This window comes from Homo sapiens, chromosome 6 (genome assembly GCF_000001405.40).
Source record: "Homo sapiens chromosome 6, GRCh38.p14 Primary Assembly".
NCBI lineage: Eukaryota > Metazoa > Chordata > Mammalia > Primates > Hominidae > Homo > Homo sapiens.
Window position 1 is genome coordinate 139,846,000 of NC_000006.12, and position 15,997 is coordinate 139,861,996.

Genomic DNA, 15,997 nt, shown 5'->3' on the forward strand with positions numbered 1-15,997 from the left:
TACCACAGCTAATATGAAGTTAAATGCAATTTGCTGGCAGTAAATTATAGCAATATACAGACATTGTATTTGATGATCAGATTTTTGGGGGAAGAAAAGCCAATTCAACTAAAGTGTTTTTTTTTTTTTTGTCATTGGCAAGCATAGGCCTTACTGACCGTTTATAAGTCATCTTGTAAGTTATTTTTCATCATTGTCAGTTCTGGAGAATCATATTGAGGAAGACTGTGGTTTAAGGAAGAGAGAGAACCTGACAAGGATCCTGCGGCCTTGGTTTCTTTTCCTGGATCTACACCTAATTTGCCGTGTGACCTTGCAAGAGGTCATTTGACCTCTTGTCAGCCTCAGTATTTCCATCTGTAGGATAAGTACTTTGAATGACAAGATTGCTCTAGTTTTTACATTTTCAGTAGATTGCCCAGGTAGTTATTATAAGATAAATTTTTTCCTGGGATAGCAAGCTAACTAAGTTTAGATAGGAATCAAAGGCCAGAAATTTTTCCAACGCAGTGATATATATTTAATAATTTTATCTTGTAGGCTTTGTGGCTCACTATTGGGCACAGGCTTTCTAGGACTTGTAACTTGCTGGGTTAACTTCTCCTGCAGGTTAAGTTCCTCTTCCTGGAACACATGCCACACTTTAAATGTGCTGAGAAAGTCAGATGAAAGTGTAATGCCTGTGAGAGTAGCTTTGCCATGTACCCTGCGCAAGGCGCTTAGGGAGAGCCTTCCTTTTCCAGTACCTTCCCTCTCTCTCCACCCTTGCTGCCTGCCGAAAATGAAAAGCAATTATGTCCCTTGCACCATGGAGACAGAAGTACAGAAAATAAACAGTGACTGATTAAGGGAAGTGGCTTTATTACAGGGTTTTTAAAAACACAGTATCATTAATAACAGCAATAATGGAGAAAAATGATAATGAATAATTAAGCATAATAATATAGTCAGGATAACAATAAAAAAACCAGTGAAGAATGAAATTTTATTTGTAATAATATGACTGTTTAGCTTGATGACATGTCCTTGGATTTGACTGTTTCCGGCAGAGGTGTAAGCACAGTATGGCTTTTCATTTATTTCCCCTAAGAATGTTTCTGGTTGAGCTGTGGCTCTGCCCTCTTCCCACTTCTGTCTTTGCTCCTTACCTTTGCAGTTATAGAAAATACACATTCACTTTTACTTTCCTCTGATGTCTCTAGCCGGGGATTAGCACCACCAATGCAACTGAATCCTCAGGAATGCGCTTGTTGTGATAGAAGGTCTGAGCAGTCAGGTGATATCAGGCGGGCTGGCAATCCCTTGGGTATTCAGGTACCTCCCCGCCCTCCCTTCCCCTGCAGAAATTTACTGGAGCAATAAACCTAGTGCAATCATGGAGGAAAATTAAGGCAAATGATCCTAAATGGAGAGAGACTGACGAAGTCCTAGAAACACCAACATAGCAACCCCCATACAAAACAGCAAACCTTATTTCACCAGGCTGTTTTCTTCAGTATTTTTGTGAAATAGTATAGAGTCTCAGAGACTAAGCAGTTTAGCCTGAGACATCAGTGCCAAGGAGTTACAGCATCTATGTAGGGTCCAGATTGCTTAACTGGTTAGAAATCATTAAGTAGGTTATCTGATTTTCCAGGAGACACAAAGGTGGCAGAGTAAATGATATCTTCTCCCCAGGCTAACATCGAGGCATAGATAACGGAGCTGCCAGCAGAGCCCCTCCCTCTACTCCCCTCAGACAATGTGTGTCACACTGAAACAGAAATAATAAAAAACTTGGAGACCTCTGAGCATATCAAAGATAAGACCTTTGTGTTTTTGTTTCTGACAGATTGTGTGCTCTTGACTGTTATTAACCCAACCCACAAGTGCAAATGATTATTACCAAAAAATAACCCTCGTCTTTGTCTTTCAGTCTGTCCTCCCTGTCTGGGTGGGGAAAGAAAGGTGTATTTTAATACTGCACAGAAATTTGGAGAGATTAGAAAAGGATTTTCATTCAAAGGGTCAGTATATATTTAAGCAGATAGAAAGCATTAGGTAGATTCTATGTAAAGGGTCTAAAGTTCCCACCTGGTTTTCAGGGAACTTAGATTCAGTTGGAACAAATGGGCAATTTTTCAAAAAGACAGGATTACATCACAGATGTACAACTGCATGAAATTACGGTACATGTAAAAATCAAATATTTGTCACGTCTTAGTATAAGTGTACAGAAGTGAGTAGAAATGATGAATACAGAAGTTTGGAAACAGCTGGACTTAAGGCAAAGTTATTTTAACTACCAATATTATGTAACGCTTTTTTTAGGTTAAAAAACAAATTTATGTGCATTCTCATTTTCTCCTCCCAGTCATCACATGAGTTACATCCTATCATCATTCCCATTTTATGTGTGAAGTAAAGGTTTTTCTCCATGTGATCCAGCTAAAAAACAAGATTTGTATTCATGGGGACCTAGGTTTAATTCTGATTTTATCATTTACTAGTTGTGTTCTCTTCTCAAGTTACTTGACAAATTAGCATGGTTTTCCCTTAAACAGGGATAATGGTTTGTGTCTTCGGGTAATTGGGAAGATTTTCTGCATCTCTCTTCTTAGCACCAGTTTCCTGCATTGTAGCTACCACAACCTTATGCTTCTACATCCCTTTTACTATACCTTGGTTTAGTCACTTGTTTGTTTCTGCTTAGACTTTCGTAATACTCCCCTGCATCGACTCTTTGCCTTCTGTCTCAGGCCTTGTATTGACTCTCCATAAAACTGTCAAATATACTTTTCCAAATGGAAATCTGTTATGTTATTTCTCTGGCTTAAATCTGCAGAGAGCTCCCGACTGTCTGCGGAAAAAAGTTCAAACTCCTTAGGGTGGATTTCAAGATTCCAATGTCCATTTGGACACATTCCTCACCTACTTCAACTCAGACCACTATCACCATCTGTGCCCCCCTGCTCTGACCGTTTCATATTACCTGTAGGTTCCTGAGTGTGTCCTCCCCTGTCCTGCCTCTATATATTTGATTGGGCTGTACTGTCGGCCAGGAGTGTCTATCTTAATTATTTCTTGTTGGTAACTACTTCTCTGTAAACATTCAACTGAGCAACAGTTTGTTGTATAAATCTCCCCAGTTGGTTAGTAGCTGGATGTACCAAACCATTTCATAGCACTAGTTCTCTAGCTATTCTCTTTTTAAAATTAAAAGTTATTTTGTTGTTGTTGTTGTTGTTTGTTTTGTTTTGTGACGGAGTCTTGCTCTGTCACCAAGCTGGAGTGTAGTGGCGTGATCTTGGCTCACTGCAACCTCCGCCTCCTGGGTTCAAGCAATTCTCCTGCCTCAGCCTCCCAAGTAACTGGGACTACAGGCACGCCCCACCATGCCCAGCTAATTTTTGTATTTTTAGTAGATGGGGTTTCACCATGTTGGCCAGGATGGTCTCGATCTCTTGACTTTGTGATTTGCCCTCCTCGGCCTCCCAAAGTGCTGGGATTACAGGCTTGAGACACCTTGCCTGGCCTAAAAGTTATTTTTATCAGCTGTACACACATAATTTTCCATATCAACTGGTCCTATAATGCTAAACAAGAAACAAGTTCCTTGTCACACTCTTGTCTACATTCAGTTTCTACTTCTTCAAAACTGCCACCTTGTACGATCTCAGTAGTTTCTTCTAGTTGCCTCTGTATTTCTAAATGGTATGCTTGTGACACTATTTCTTGATTTTTCCATTTTAGATCTTAATTCCCCATTCTGGATAATGCAGGTTTGATTTCTCTTACACTTCCTTAGTACCGTCTTCCTTCCACTGTTTTCCCCATTCACCCAATACAATCAATAGTTAGGTTAAACTAATATTCAGTACTTACATTGTCATGGCTATGTTAACCAGCATCCATAGGTTAACTATACAGTGTACTATGACTACATTTCTTGTTCATACAGCTTTTTGTTAACCTGAAATTAATAAGAAATCAGTGTACCTACCACTGATTTCTTCCAAAATTCTTTGCCAAAGTTCATTCAAAGCATCAGGTGAGCTTTCATCCACCCCCCACCCCCACTCCCCCATCCCCCAGGAGACATCCTTCTGGAATTTTCCATCCTGTTGCTTCAACCTGGACCAGTTTCTTGCTATCTACACCTCAATTATTATTCCATAATGTCCCTTCATCCTTTTGAAGAGAATGCTCCTGGTCTTTTTTGGTTGGTCTCTTGTTTTCTGAATCCCAAATGCTCCTTATCTTGACTCACACACACATCTAATTGCTATACCTTTTCTATTAGTTCACTAAGAAAAGATACATAGGAGTTACATTTTTTGAGACTTTGCATGTCTTAAAACATCTTTTTACTTTCATACATGTTTGATAGTTTGCTGGGTAACTTTCATACATGTTTGATAGTTTGCTGGGTATAGAATTCTAGATTGAAAAGAATTTTTATTCAAAATTTTAAAGACATTTTTACCTTCCAAGAGTACATTTGAGAAAACTGATGCTACTCTATTTTCTGATTCTTTTTCTGCCAAATTGGTTTTTGTTGTTCATGTAAAATTGAACAATTTTTAAAAATATAGACCTTTTTAGAATTGTTACTATATCCCCGGTGATCCAAAATTTCACAGCTTGCCTTGATGTAGTTCTTTATTTTATTCATTGTGCTGGCTCATTGATGGGATCTTTTAATCTGTAAATCCATGCCTTTCATTCTTGAAAAATCTACTTGAATAATTTCTTGGGTAATTTTTCACTCCAATTTCTCTTCAAAAACTCCTATTATTCAGACGTTGGACCTCTTTGGCTGATTCTCTATTATTAATTTATTTCCTGTTCTCCATCTTTCTCTTTCTTTTCTATTTTATGGCTCCTCATCAAATTTATCTTCTAATCCTCTATGGAATTTTAATTTTTTATATTATATTTTAAATTTTTGAATAGCTCTTTTTGTTCTCAGATTTTTTGACAGCATTATCTTATTGCATTCATATAATTTTTTAAATTATAAATATGATAATAGATTTTATAAATCTATTTTTATCTTCCTTTTCTTTATGTCTTCCAAGGTTTTAAATTATCTTTATTTTTGTCTATGCCATTCATAAAATATCTTTGACTATTTAGCTTGCTGTGCACATTTGTTAACGACACACTAAGAAGCTAACTGGACACTGTGCATTTATGGGTGGAACTTGTTAAATGCTAGACTTCCCAGTAGAATTACAGGGTTGGGAATCTTCACTGGGGGAGGTCCCCAAATGGTAGAATTTATAGAGCTTTTCTCCCCTAGTAATTCTCCCATCTTCTTCTTGCAGGCATAACCCTGATAGCATTCTTTCTAGAACTTCGCCAAATAAGCGGACTGGAATAATATTCAGACTATAGACTTTCACGTAACCTTCTTTTTTTAAGAAATGAATCACAGCTCTTATCTGGGCCCGGTTTTCTTGCATCCAGGGTTTTTGTTATTCTGTATTGTTAGAAAGTAAAATTTTAGTCTGTCAAGGATGGGGAAGGGGCTATCTCTGAGCACCTAGGGTGTAGGTCTCTATTTGTTTCTTAAACAGAATTTTAGCTAATACCTATGGACTTTTAGCTGTATACTCTACTTCCATAAGTACTTAATGATTTATGTTTCAAGGATCCCCAGAATCCTAGTGTTATTTGGCTCAATTTTAAGGTTTTCTTAAAATAGTCTGGGGTTTCTACTGTGTCATTTACTACTCATCCTTCTGCTTCTTGATTTTCTTATTAAAACAAAATCCTGTTATCTCCTCTCCCTTTTTCATTAATCTCTTAAACGTGCTTTTTATCTTCTTTTAAAATACGTTTACTGCCAATTTTGGAAGAAAAACGTGGTAAATGGCATGCCTTCATTCCTCCACATTGATCTGGAATTCCTTCTCTGTCTTAATTTGGTTCAGCCTATATCCACATACACCAAGGCTAGACTTAAAGATAAAATCAATTATTTTAATTTTACCAGCTTTGGTCAATAATTTTGTTTCTATGTTTTTCTGACTTAGTCAGTTTTTATGTAAGTCAAGGTGGTTGAGTATTATAAGTTTCTATTACTATAATGATTTCATATTCAAACACTGGATAGGAAAAATTGATTATGGGCTTGGCATCTATCTATACGGTTTTACAGAAAGAGAGAAAAAAACACTTTTAGATAGTGGTATCAAAAAAGGTTGATATATATTTTTTATCATCTCCTCTCCTTCCTTGTTTGCAAGCTACTAACAGTCACACCCAAGGATAAAACATTCCTATGCATTTACAACTTTTCACTAGCAAAGACCTGACTACTAAACAAAGGCAGCTTGACCAGACCACGGTTTTATGATGGGCTTGAGAGGGGCTTTGTTTCACATTCTGGTTGTATTTTCAGTGGGGCTCATTCTTAACTGTTTCATGATTTGGGGAGACACATTGCTGATTTTATTGTTCAGAGCCTTTCTTCTCCTTTTTCTTGTGGAATGAGTGATGTTCCACACGGAAGATTAAGATATATAATAACAAAACAGAAACTCTCACGTTTAGCTGTAGTTAGATTTATGGTTAAGTTTATGGAGATTACTTAGGGCTGGGAACACACGTCCAAGAACGTCTCTGCAGTTACAACTGTGCATGGAGTGAGATGCTGTTACAGACTATGGACAGTAAATACCTCTGAGGTTGTGTGTCACTTCCTGTAGGCCCATGAGTCTTTCTGATTTAAGTAGGAAGGTGTCTGTTAGTAATGCAAACAAAACCTAGTTTAACCTCTGATTCCCAACATCTGGAATATTTATCTCTTTGGCAATTGTGCGGTTCACTGAACACTCACCATTCCAGTGGTCCACTGAAGAAGGATTTTGGCTTGAAAAGAGACCGCCATGGGAAAAAAAAAATCTAATTCAGAGTAGTTATCACTGAGAATACCAAAAGGATTTGTGATAGCAATATCCCTTTGACTCCACAGCTGGTCTGCGTGGATTGTGCTCTAGTGAGAGCCTGTTTTCCTAATGCCGTGAGAAAAGACATAGATTCTTCCTTTGGACCTTATTACAACACAAGATTTTTTTTATTGTACACTTTAAAGACTCTTTAATCCGAAAACTTAGTTTCAACTTTTTATTTCTCTGTATGCCTCTGAATGGAATCCAAACAATTCAACATCGTTTTTTTTTCTTTTTCTCTTTCAGAAATGGATGAGAGATTCAAGTATACTTTTTTGATGTCCTGTGGACATTTTTGCATTTTTATATTCTTCATTAAACATAAAACAAAGAGCTTTGGTTCTGAATACAAGAGAATATAAGTTGTTAAGACCATTAACAACTCGTTAATGGTCACAGGCATTCTGGATCTTTTCCCATAGCTTCTGGGGACACACTCTTTCTCAAATGCTGGGTAGAACAGTAAGTGTGGTTAAGGCTGACTTGAGAATGAAGTTGGAATTGGATGCAGCAGTTTCACAATGACATCAAGGTCCAAGGTCAGGGAAGTGGCAAGACCTTTACCCAGCAGAGTTAACTATAAGCCATAAAAGTATCTAGGAGCAGACCTGAGTGAAGCACGTGTTCAGTTAGTTATTGAAACAAAAGTATGTAGCTTGTCTCAAGTTCCTGGTAACTACTTCAGGGCTGATTGACTAGGTATTTCTGTGTGTATGTAATTGCTTTTCTCCATTTAAGAATAAACTACAAGGAACAGATACTATATAGCTTCTGGAAGTTTATTTCTTCTAGCAAATGGCAACTTTAGTTTTTTATTGGTTGAAGCCCTTGGGCACGTTTTAAAATATTGCCTTGTAAAATGTGATGAGTGTATTCCTAAAGCTCTAGTGTCTTAACTCAGCTCTCCACAGCCCCACATTCCTTTTACATGCATGTCTCCTAACTGGACATTAGGGAAGTTTTTTTTCTCCCAACTTCTCATTGATAATATAAATAACCACCACTTGTATAACATAGAATATCTTACAAATACTGTCATATGCCTGACCTCATTGGTCCTTATTCTGCGAAGCAAATATTGTTATTACTGTTTTACAAATGACAAAAGAGATGCTGAGAAAAATGGATTTGACCAAGGTCAAGCAGTTAATGAATAATAAAGGTGAATTCAGAATGCAAGACTTCAGACTCCAAAACACTTCATTGTTTTTTAAGCAGAGTTAAGATCCTTTGCTTTCCTCTTCATCAGAGAATAACAGTCAAATGTAAAAATAGCTTATTTATAATTATAGGCCAAGGCAGTAGCAAAGAGCTAAAAGAATTAATTAGTAAGTATTTATTGATACTTGTATTATGTCCAGTACTGTGTTAAGAACCATATAGCAGTGGTTTGCAAAAGCTTTTTCTTATGCCAGTTTTATAAGGAAACTTTCAGCAAAATCAGACAAATAAGAACCCTATTCACACATATGCACCTCTCCACACATATATCTCCATTATGAGATTTCTAATCACTCTTCTCTGCTTTAGCTTTTCTTCTTAGCATTATCACTACCTGACGCTATAGCTTATTTATAGTGTATATTGGCTACAAATTCCAATAAAATGTAAACACAAATTAGAGCACAGATTTTTGTCTGTTGTGTTTATTGCTGTATACCCAGCAGCTAGAGTTATACCTGGCACATAGTAGGCATCCCATAAATATTTGTGGAATGAATTAATGAATGACAAAGCTAACATACATTAAAGCAAAACAACCAAGTCTTTAATAGGGTTATATGAAATCTAGCTACAATAAGGATTCAGAGAAGGGGGACAATTTAAAGCTAGCATTTTTCAAAGAAGAGTCTGAAGAAAAAATGCTATTCATGCAGGGTTGTGAAATCTGGATTGGGTTTGAATAGTTGAGATGAAGAAGGGAGCTATTAAAGCTGAAAAGAGTAAAGAAGCAAAGGTGAGTAGACGTCAACGAGTAACAGTGAAGACCTAGCCGTGCCTGGAGTAAATTAAGGTGATCTATGTCTCCGGCTTTCCAAGGTACTCCCCGAAGTGTTTAGCTAACAATTTATTCTTACATGTATATGTTTTTACCTTTTGTAGAAACAAATGTATTTGTCTGTATTTTTCTTTAATTCTGATACAATGGATACAATAGAGAGCAGAAATCAATTATTTAATATGTTAGAAAAATGCCTTTTGTGAGTGGGTCAAAGAAATAACTCTAGATGATAGAAGAGACTTGGAAGTGAATTACACATTTCAGTATGCAGTGCTGTGTTGGTTGACAAGTGAACAAACACCTTCATAAATTAGTAGCTCTTAATTGTAGCTTGAAAGACAAATAAATGGGTGGTTTAGACCTTTTGTCTCATTTCATCTGTAATGTTATGAAGTATGACCCCTGTTGAGTTTTTCTTGTTTGAAAATACTGAGCTAAAATTCAGTTGTTTTTCCAATGACTTTGTCCGGGTTAATTCTTTACTTCCATCTTCTCATTGCTTAAACAGGAATATAATGTCATGTTCATTAATAGTTTGTATGTATTTAGTGCTTTAGAGACAGTGACCTAATTTTGATAGATCATGATATATTTTGATATGTGACATGCCACCGGATTGTAAATAATATCCTAGTGTGACTTCCTGCTGCATTTCTTGGACTGATGCTGACATTTCTGAGGTTATTGCTAGAATGCTCTTTTTTTTTTTATTCTAAGGCATTTTTTTTCATGGCTTATTTTTAGATTTTATATAGCATCTTTCCTTCGAGGAGCTCAAAGCAAATTTTGCAAATGTGAACAATCTTCTTTGGTCAGTATGTTTTGGTTTGGAGAAGGAAAAAATGTAATACTAATTTCCTGCCTCTGTATGTCCTTCTAAAAAATCAAACTGAATGCCCTTCTCACCTCTCCTTTTCTCTGACTTAAGGAGTTTTATTTTATACAGAGGCTTAACAGAAAGAGCTTAGACCTTGAATCACCAGTGAGGAGGCTGAACCATTAAAACAAAACACAGCAGAGAGAGCCTTCAGGAAAGGCAGTGTTAAGCACAAGGCAGATTGTCAAAAAATGCTGTAGGTGATTGCAAAAACCCTCTGCAAGGATGTTTTCAGTCAACACAAGTGGGTCGCTTAATTTTTCGAGTGAATGCCCTTAATGGGGGGACTTTAGCTGCAGTCTCACTAGCCAGAGCTGTCTCATTACAGGAGATGTGGTCCAGTCTGTGAAATGTTTATTTTGTAACTAACCCCTCTAGCAGTGGAGGGAACTGTTTACTATTCCTTCTTGTTCTCTAGTGTGTGTATGTGTGGTTTTTTTTTTCTCTTAATTAAAGAATCACTGTTGAACTTCAGAAACCTCTCCAGGAAGAAAAAAATAAAAAGAAGGAAAAAAGAGAGAGAGAGAAAGAACAGAGGGAAGAAAAAGAGAGAAAGAGAAGAGAAAATAGGGTTGAAAACTGTGTCTTTTGCTCATTCATTCTTAAGGATTATTTCCAGAAGAAGAATTGTAATATTCATTGACCTCCCCAGGAGTGTGTGTACATGAAAATGTGTGCGAATGTTTGTGTGCAGGCCCGAGTAGGAAACAGTGCTATGTAAACAGTGTCAATGTATCTATCCCACCAACTAACATTCAAAGTTTTCTTTGTTAATGATATTCTGAAGGAGAATAAAAGATGGAACCTGATTCTATCCCATACAAACAAAAATTACACAAGCCAGTAGGAAAATCTAAATTCTGAATTTGGTTGGATTTCATTTGAGCTTGCAAAATTATTAGGCAATGGCATACTGTTTGAAGGGAATGTTTGTCTTTTCATTCTAGCCAGCAGCAAATAATCCCAAAGGAGGTAAACATCTAAAAGAAAGGAATGAAAACAGGTAAGTCAGAGTAATCTGTGATCTTAGAACATAAGCCCAAGACACCTTTACAACACGTAATCATGCCTATTTCCATCTGCCCCAGAGCTACCAACATTTTAAAATATTGAAAGTAGATGGCTGATAAAAACATATTTTTAATATTACAGAGGGCTTAGAATGATGGGAATGTGAAATGCATTCAAAAATAAAGATTATGATTTAGAAAATACCCAGTTATTAGACATATGAAGAAGATTAGTGAAAGAAACATTTGAAATCTTTGCTTTATGTAGTAATTATGTTCCTGACAAGTCCTATCATAATTAAATGAGTGGCTTCTATTTAAAAGTGTGTTAGAAAGCCTTAAGATAGAAAATACTCTGTTCTTTTAGATTTGGAATTTAGAATTTGTAGTTTCACATATATTATGGGAAGCTTGGTAATGTGTCCTTACATTATTGGGATCATTGACTCAGTTCCAATGTAATAGAAACAGACTCAAATTTCCTTGCTCAGAGCTGCCTCATATGGCTGTGCAGGCCGAATAGAACTGAACTCTAGAGTCACCATTCACACAGACGACAGTGCAAAGTTTGACCCCTAGAACTACCTAATGCTTGAAATACAATAATCACAGTGAGAGGGTGCTCAAATGCCTCTTGGTTGAATACAGTGGTGTGAAATTCATATTGGTAGTAAATTCAGACTTACTTCCTAATATAATTTGAATAATTCAAAGAAAGTCTTCTACTAAACATTTTATGCCAGAAACCAAGAAATTGAGTAATCGCTTATTCCCAGAGATTCAGAGAATTTTCTAAATTTCTCTTTCTTCTCTTTTATCCTCTCCTTTAAATGAAAGTACTAATCTTGCAGTAAATTTGTTTAAAAAGCAAATAATCATTTTGAAATGCCAATAATGACGTCCCAAGGTTCTAATTTATCTTTTTAAAGAGGATTGCATTTCATATTTTGAATTGGTTTTTAACAAGGCTAACATTTTACTATATAATTCTTTATGCTTTAAAAGTATTTGACGTAAATTGTGTTATGTGATGTTATGACAACGCCGTGAAAGACGAAATGAGCATGATCATTCTATGTTACAGACAAGAAAGTTATTGCTCAGGAAAGTAAGAGGCTTATTCAAGGTCACCCAGAAAGTAAGGACAAAGCTAGGATGACAATTTGCTCTCCTCATTTCTATATTTGCTACTTTCAGGCTAATTATTTATGTTTTTACGTTAAATAATAAAATGTAATGTATATATTTATCTGACATATCTATGATTTTTTCTTTCTTTTTTTTTCTGTTTGTTAGTGTACTAGTGAAATTGGAAATATACCTATTAAATCCTGAAGATGAGGAAAATATATCCTGCTAAGTTGGAAAAAATTAAAAAATTAGTGAAAAAGATAAAAACGTTATGTACTGGAAAATTAATGAACTCACTCTCAGTGGTCCCAAGTTCATTTTTCTTATGCTAGAAAAGATTCTTTAGAATTATGCATATAAATTGTCAAATAAAATCGATAAATCCAGTAAATCTCCCTTCCCACACACACCATCAGTGGATAACAAAACTGGGTTGGTGATAACTTTTACTTGTTAACAGGTTGTTCCAATTATTGGGTAGAGACAGGTTTTGTAACTTCTGGAAATCTTAAAACGTCTTGTCTCTCAACTCAGTGATTGAAGTGTAGCAATATGGATTGAATCATTTTCTCATCTTTATTTCTGATATTGACTCCAATAAGTTAAAATTGCAAGTGTTGGTAATAAGCAATCTGGAGGATTAGCCAAAGTGCACTGTTTGCCTGTGTCAGAACCTGTTAGTCAGGCTCTGCAGGACTGACCTACATTGCTTCTTAATGCATCTCTTTGTAGAAAGGTAATTCTAATATTACCGTTGACCTACCTATTACTTAACCTCATTTATTAAATATCTTCCTTGTGCAGGATATTTTACCAGATAAAGAAATTAGGAGGACTAAGGGCATAGAGTAAAAAGAGAAAGAGATCTATTTTAGATGAACACTGAACTTTATATCACAGAAATAATCCACTAATATATGGTTCAATGTGCATTACTTGCTTTGAGAGCCATAAGTACCTCTAGTAAATAAATGCATTTATTGTACATTACAATGAAAAATTTGTTAAATAACAAATGAATGATTACTAAAAGCCTATTTTAAACATACATAAGAACAACTAATTTCATGAATGAAAGTGCATATTTGGTGGGCATATGTAATCTTACAACATTGGTTTCACTCAAGTTTTTAAGCATTTTTTATAGCATTTTTGTATATTATGGGACAGCATAAATTAAAAAAAAACCTATAAGTAACTGCCATCTATCTTAGAAAAAAGTAACAAAAATTACTTTTTTGCTTATGTGAAAGTGGTACATTTTAATTTTTATTATGCCAGTAATGAAGATTATATATTGACATATTGAATCCTGTTTTATCTCCAGGTTTTATTTATAAATGCCTCACTGTTGGAACCTGCATGAATGAAAGCTGAATCTCAAAGATCAGACACGTTGGACTTGGAATAATGTCCATGTTATGATTCCAATCTGTGCCTAAATCTGAACCACTCAGTTCTTCATGCTTGTTGGAATCCTCCTAAAATTGGAATTTCCTGGGAGATATCCAGTACTTTTTGGGCTGTAAACAGCAAAACAAACAGCCTTTCTTGTAATATGCTACGTCTAGTGCTAACTGAATTCAAGAAGTTTATGAGTGTGGGGAAAGTAACTTGATGTCTTTGCAAACTTACAAATTTGCTTCAGTTTAAATTTTGACCAAAAATTCATCTCAGGAATATGTTTTGGAATAATTCTTTGCTATTAGTTATAAATGTGACAAATATCGTTTAAACAATAAAATATTATTTTATACAACAAATTATGGCAACAAATTCCTTGTAGTGATAGATTTTTTAAAATCTTTAAATCATAGATAGGGATTTATTATGCTCCATGTCAATTATATGCATGTTTGTGTGTATATGTGTGTATATGTGTGTGTATATATATTTCACTTAATCTCTGAGAACAGTCTGAATTTTTATGTTTCTCTATTGTATATAATTGAAAAACATAAGACAAAGAAATCACTTATTAGTACGTTGATAGATAAACGTGCTTGATGCCAAATATAGACACACAAAATACACTTAATTCTTCTGTAAGAACTCTTAAACATCTATGAGAAACATCTTATCAAATTGATTTCCCCCTTTCTCCTTAGTAAAAAAATCCTGACGTTTTTAGGTTGACACAATGCCACTCAGCTAAACAATGACATTTCCCAGACTCCTTTGTGTTTAAGTGTGGCCGTATAACTAGGTTGTGCCCAAAGACAATTAAGTATAACTGTTGGGTATAATTTTTCTGAAAAGTCTCCTTAAAAATATGACGGTTTTTCCTTGCTTTCTTTTTTTCCTTGTTATTTAGAGTACGAGTATTGTATCTGTAGCTCCAGCAGCCATCTTGGACCAGAATATGATGGTCTGGAGAATGTAAGCCATGTGCAGAATGATACTTACAGACAAGGGACTGTGTACTTCATTGAACCGTAAAGCTGCCATAGTTGCCTTGGATACTCTCCTTGTGGACACCTTTTATGTGCAAGAAAAATAAACTATCTTGTTTAAGCCATTGTTATTTGTGGAATTTTCATTACATGCAGTTGAACCAAGTCATAACGAATTTAGGACTATGACTGGGTTGCTGCAAAACAGAACTTAAAATATGACTTTGGCTAAGTGAATTGAGTGGAGAGGAAGATATTAAGAGGTGAAAAACTGTTGACCCTGTCATGTGGTTGCAAAACATTTAGTCAAGTTATTGCCTGCTACGTCTTGAAGACCACGTTTCATAATGTATAGTTGGATGATGATAGGAAACATTAGTGTATTTTAATTGTCTTTTGTTCTTTACATCAAAAAAGCTAAACTCAGACTAAGAAAAAACCATCAGAAATCATAGATGGGAAGGGGGGATTCAGAGACGCTCGGTTTGCCTTCAGCCTACCATCTAAGTATGACATACAGGCCTGTAATTTCAAGGCTAGTAGAATTGACAAAACAAAACTGCCCTCATACACACCACACTGAATTACTTTCCTTTAAGATTTCTCTACCAAAACCTGGGATCCAGACAACTGACAAAAATCCCAGTGAAGACGTTGACTTCTACTCATGTTTCAAGGGGTCTCCGAGTAAATGCCAGTTATTGGTGGCAATGCCAGCAAGTTAAGGATTGGAATCTTCAGGTTAGAAACTATGTCTAAACATGATCTTCATCTGTGGTTACTTTAACATGCAATTGACTACACATACTCACATGAAATCCAGAAAACTTTCCTGAGTGGATCATGATGTCATCTACTAAGTTCCAAAAGTAGAATAGGATACCAGGATTCTCCAAAAACAGATACCATCAAAGGAAATAAAGGACTAGGTACTAGTTTTTACAGAGCTAGATAAATCAAAGAAAGGTTGGAACCTTAGTAAGCATCCATTTTGGAATGGTATGCTCCTTTGAGTAGCTATGGTAGAACATGTGAGTGTAAACCAAGATGGCTGACATATTTAGTGGCAAGGCAGAATAGATTAGTATGGCCCATGCAGGGTTTGTAATCACTGTGGGAATTACACGTTCATGAGTCTGTGCAAAGTCAGTTTTGTATATCTACACATTGTAGTAGCAAAAAGAATCAGCAATATCAGTCTAGTGTCTTCCAATTTCTCTCTGCTCTGGAAATTTGGAGGGGGTGGGGGGGAAGGGTCGGGCGCCGTGGCTCACGCCTGCAATCCCAGCACTTTGGAAGGCGGAGGCAGGCGGATCACGAGGTCAGGAGATCGAGACTGTCCTGGCTAACACGGTGAAACCCTGTCCCTACTAAAAATACAAAAAATTAGCCAGGCATGATGGCAGGTACCTGTAGTGCCAGCTACTTAGGAGGCTGAGGCGGGAGAACGGCGTGAACTCGGGTGGCGGAGCTTGCAGTGAGCCGAGATCACGCCACTGCACTCCAGCCTGGGGGACAGAGCGAGACTCCGTCTCAAAAAAAAAAAAAAAAAAAAAAAAAAAAAAAAAAAAAGCCTGGCTGGTCGCAGTGGCTCATGCCTGTAATCCCAGCACTTTGGGAGGCCAAGGTGGGTGGATCACCAGAGG

General features: G+C 36.2%; 1 long non-coding RNA gene across 3 annotated transcripts in view; it reads left to right on the plus strand.

The window, feature by feature from the left end:
• FILNC1 (FOXO induced long non-coding RNA 1) overlaps positions 1-14,472 on the plus strand; it is an 89,399-nt gene extending 74,927 nt beyond the window's left edge. Inside the window, exons 1-3 of one of the 3 annotated variants that reach the window (NR_138541.1) lie at positions 8,851-8,978; positions 10,765-10,820; positions 13,286-14,472. This is a non-coding gene — a long non-coding RNA (FOXO induced long non-coding RNA 1). Of the gene's footprint in view, positions 1-8,850; positions 8,979-10,764; positions 10,821-13,285 lie in introns of those variants that run through there. The other 2 variants (NR_138542.1, NR_038399.2) reach the window with 2 other exon arrangements.
• Positions 14,473-15,997: the final 1,525 nt, after the last annotated feature.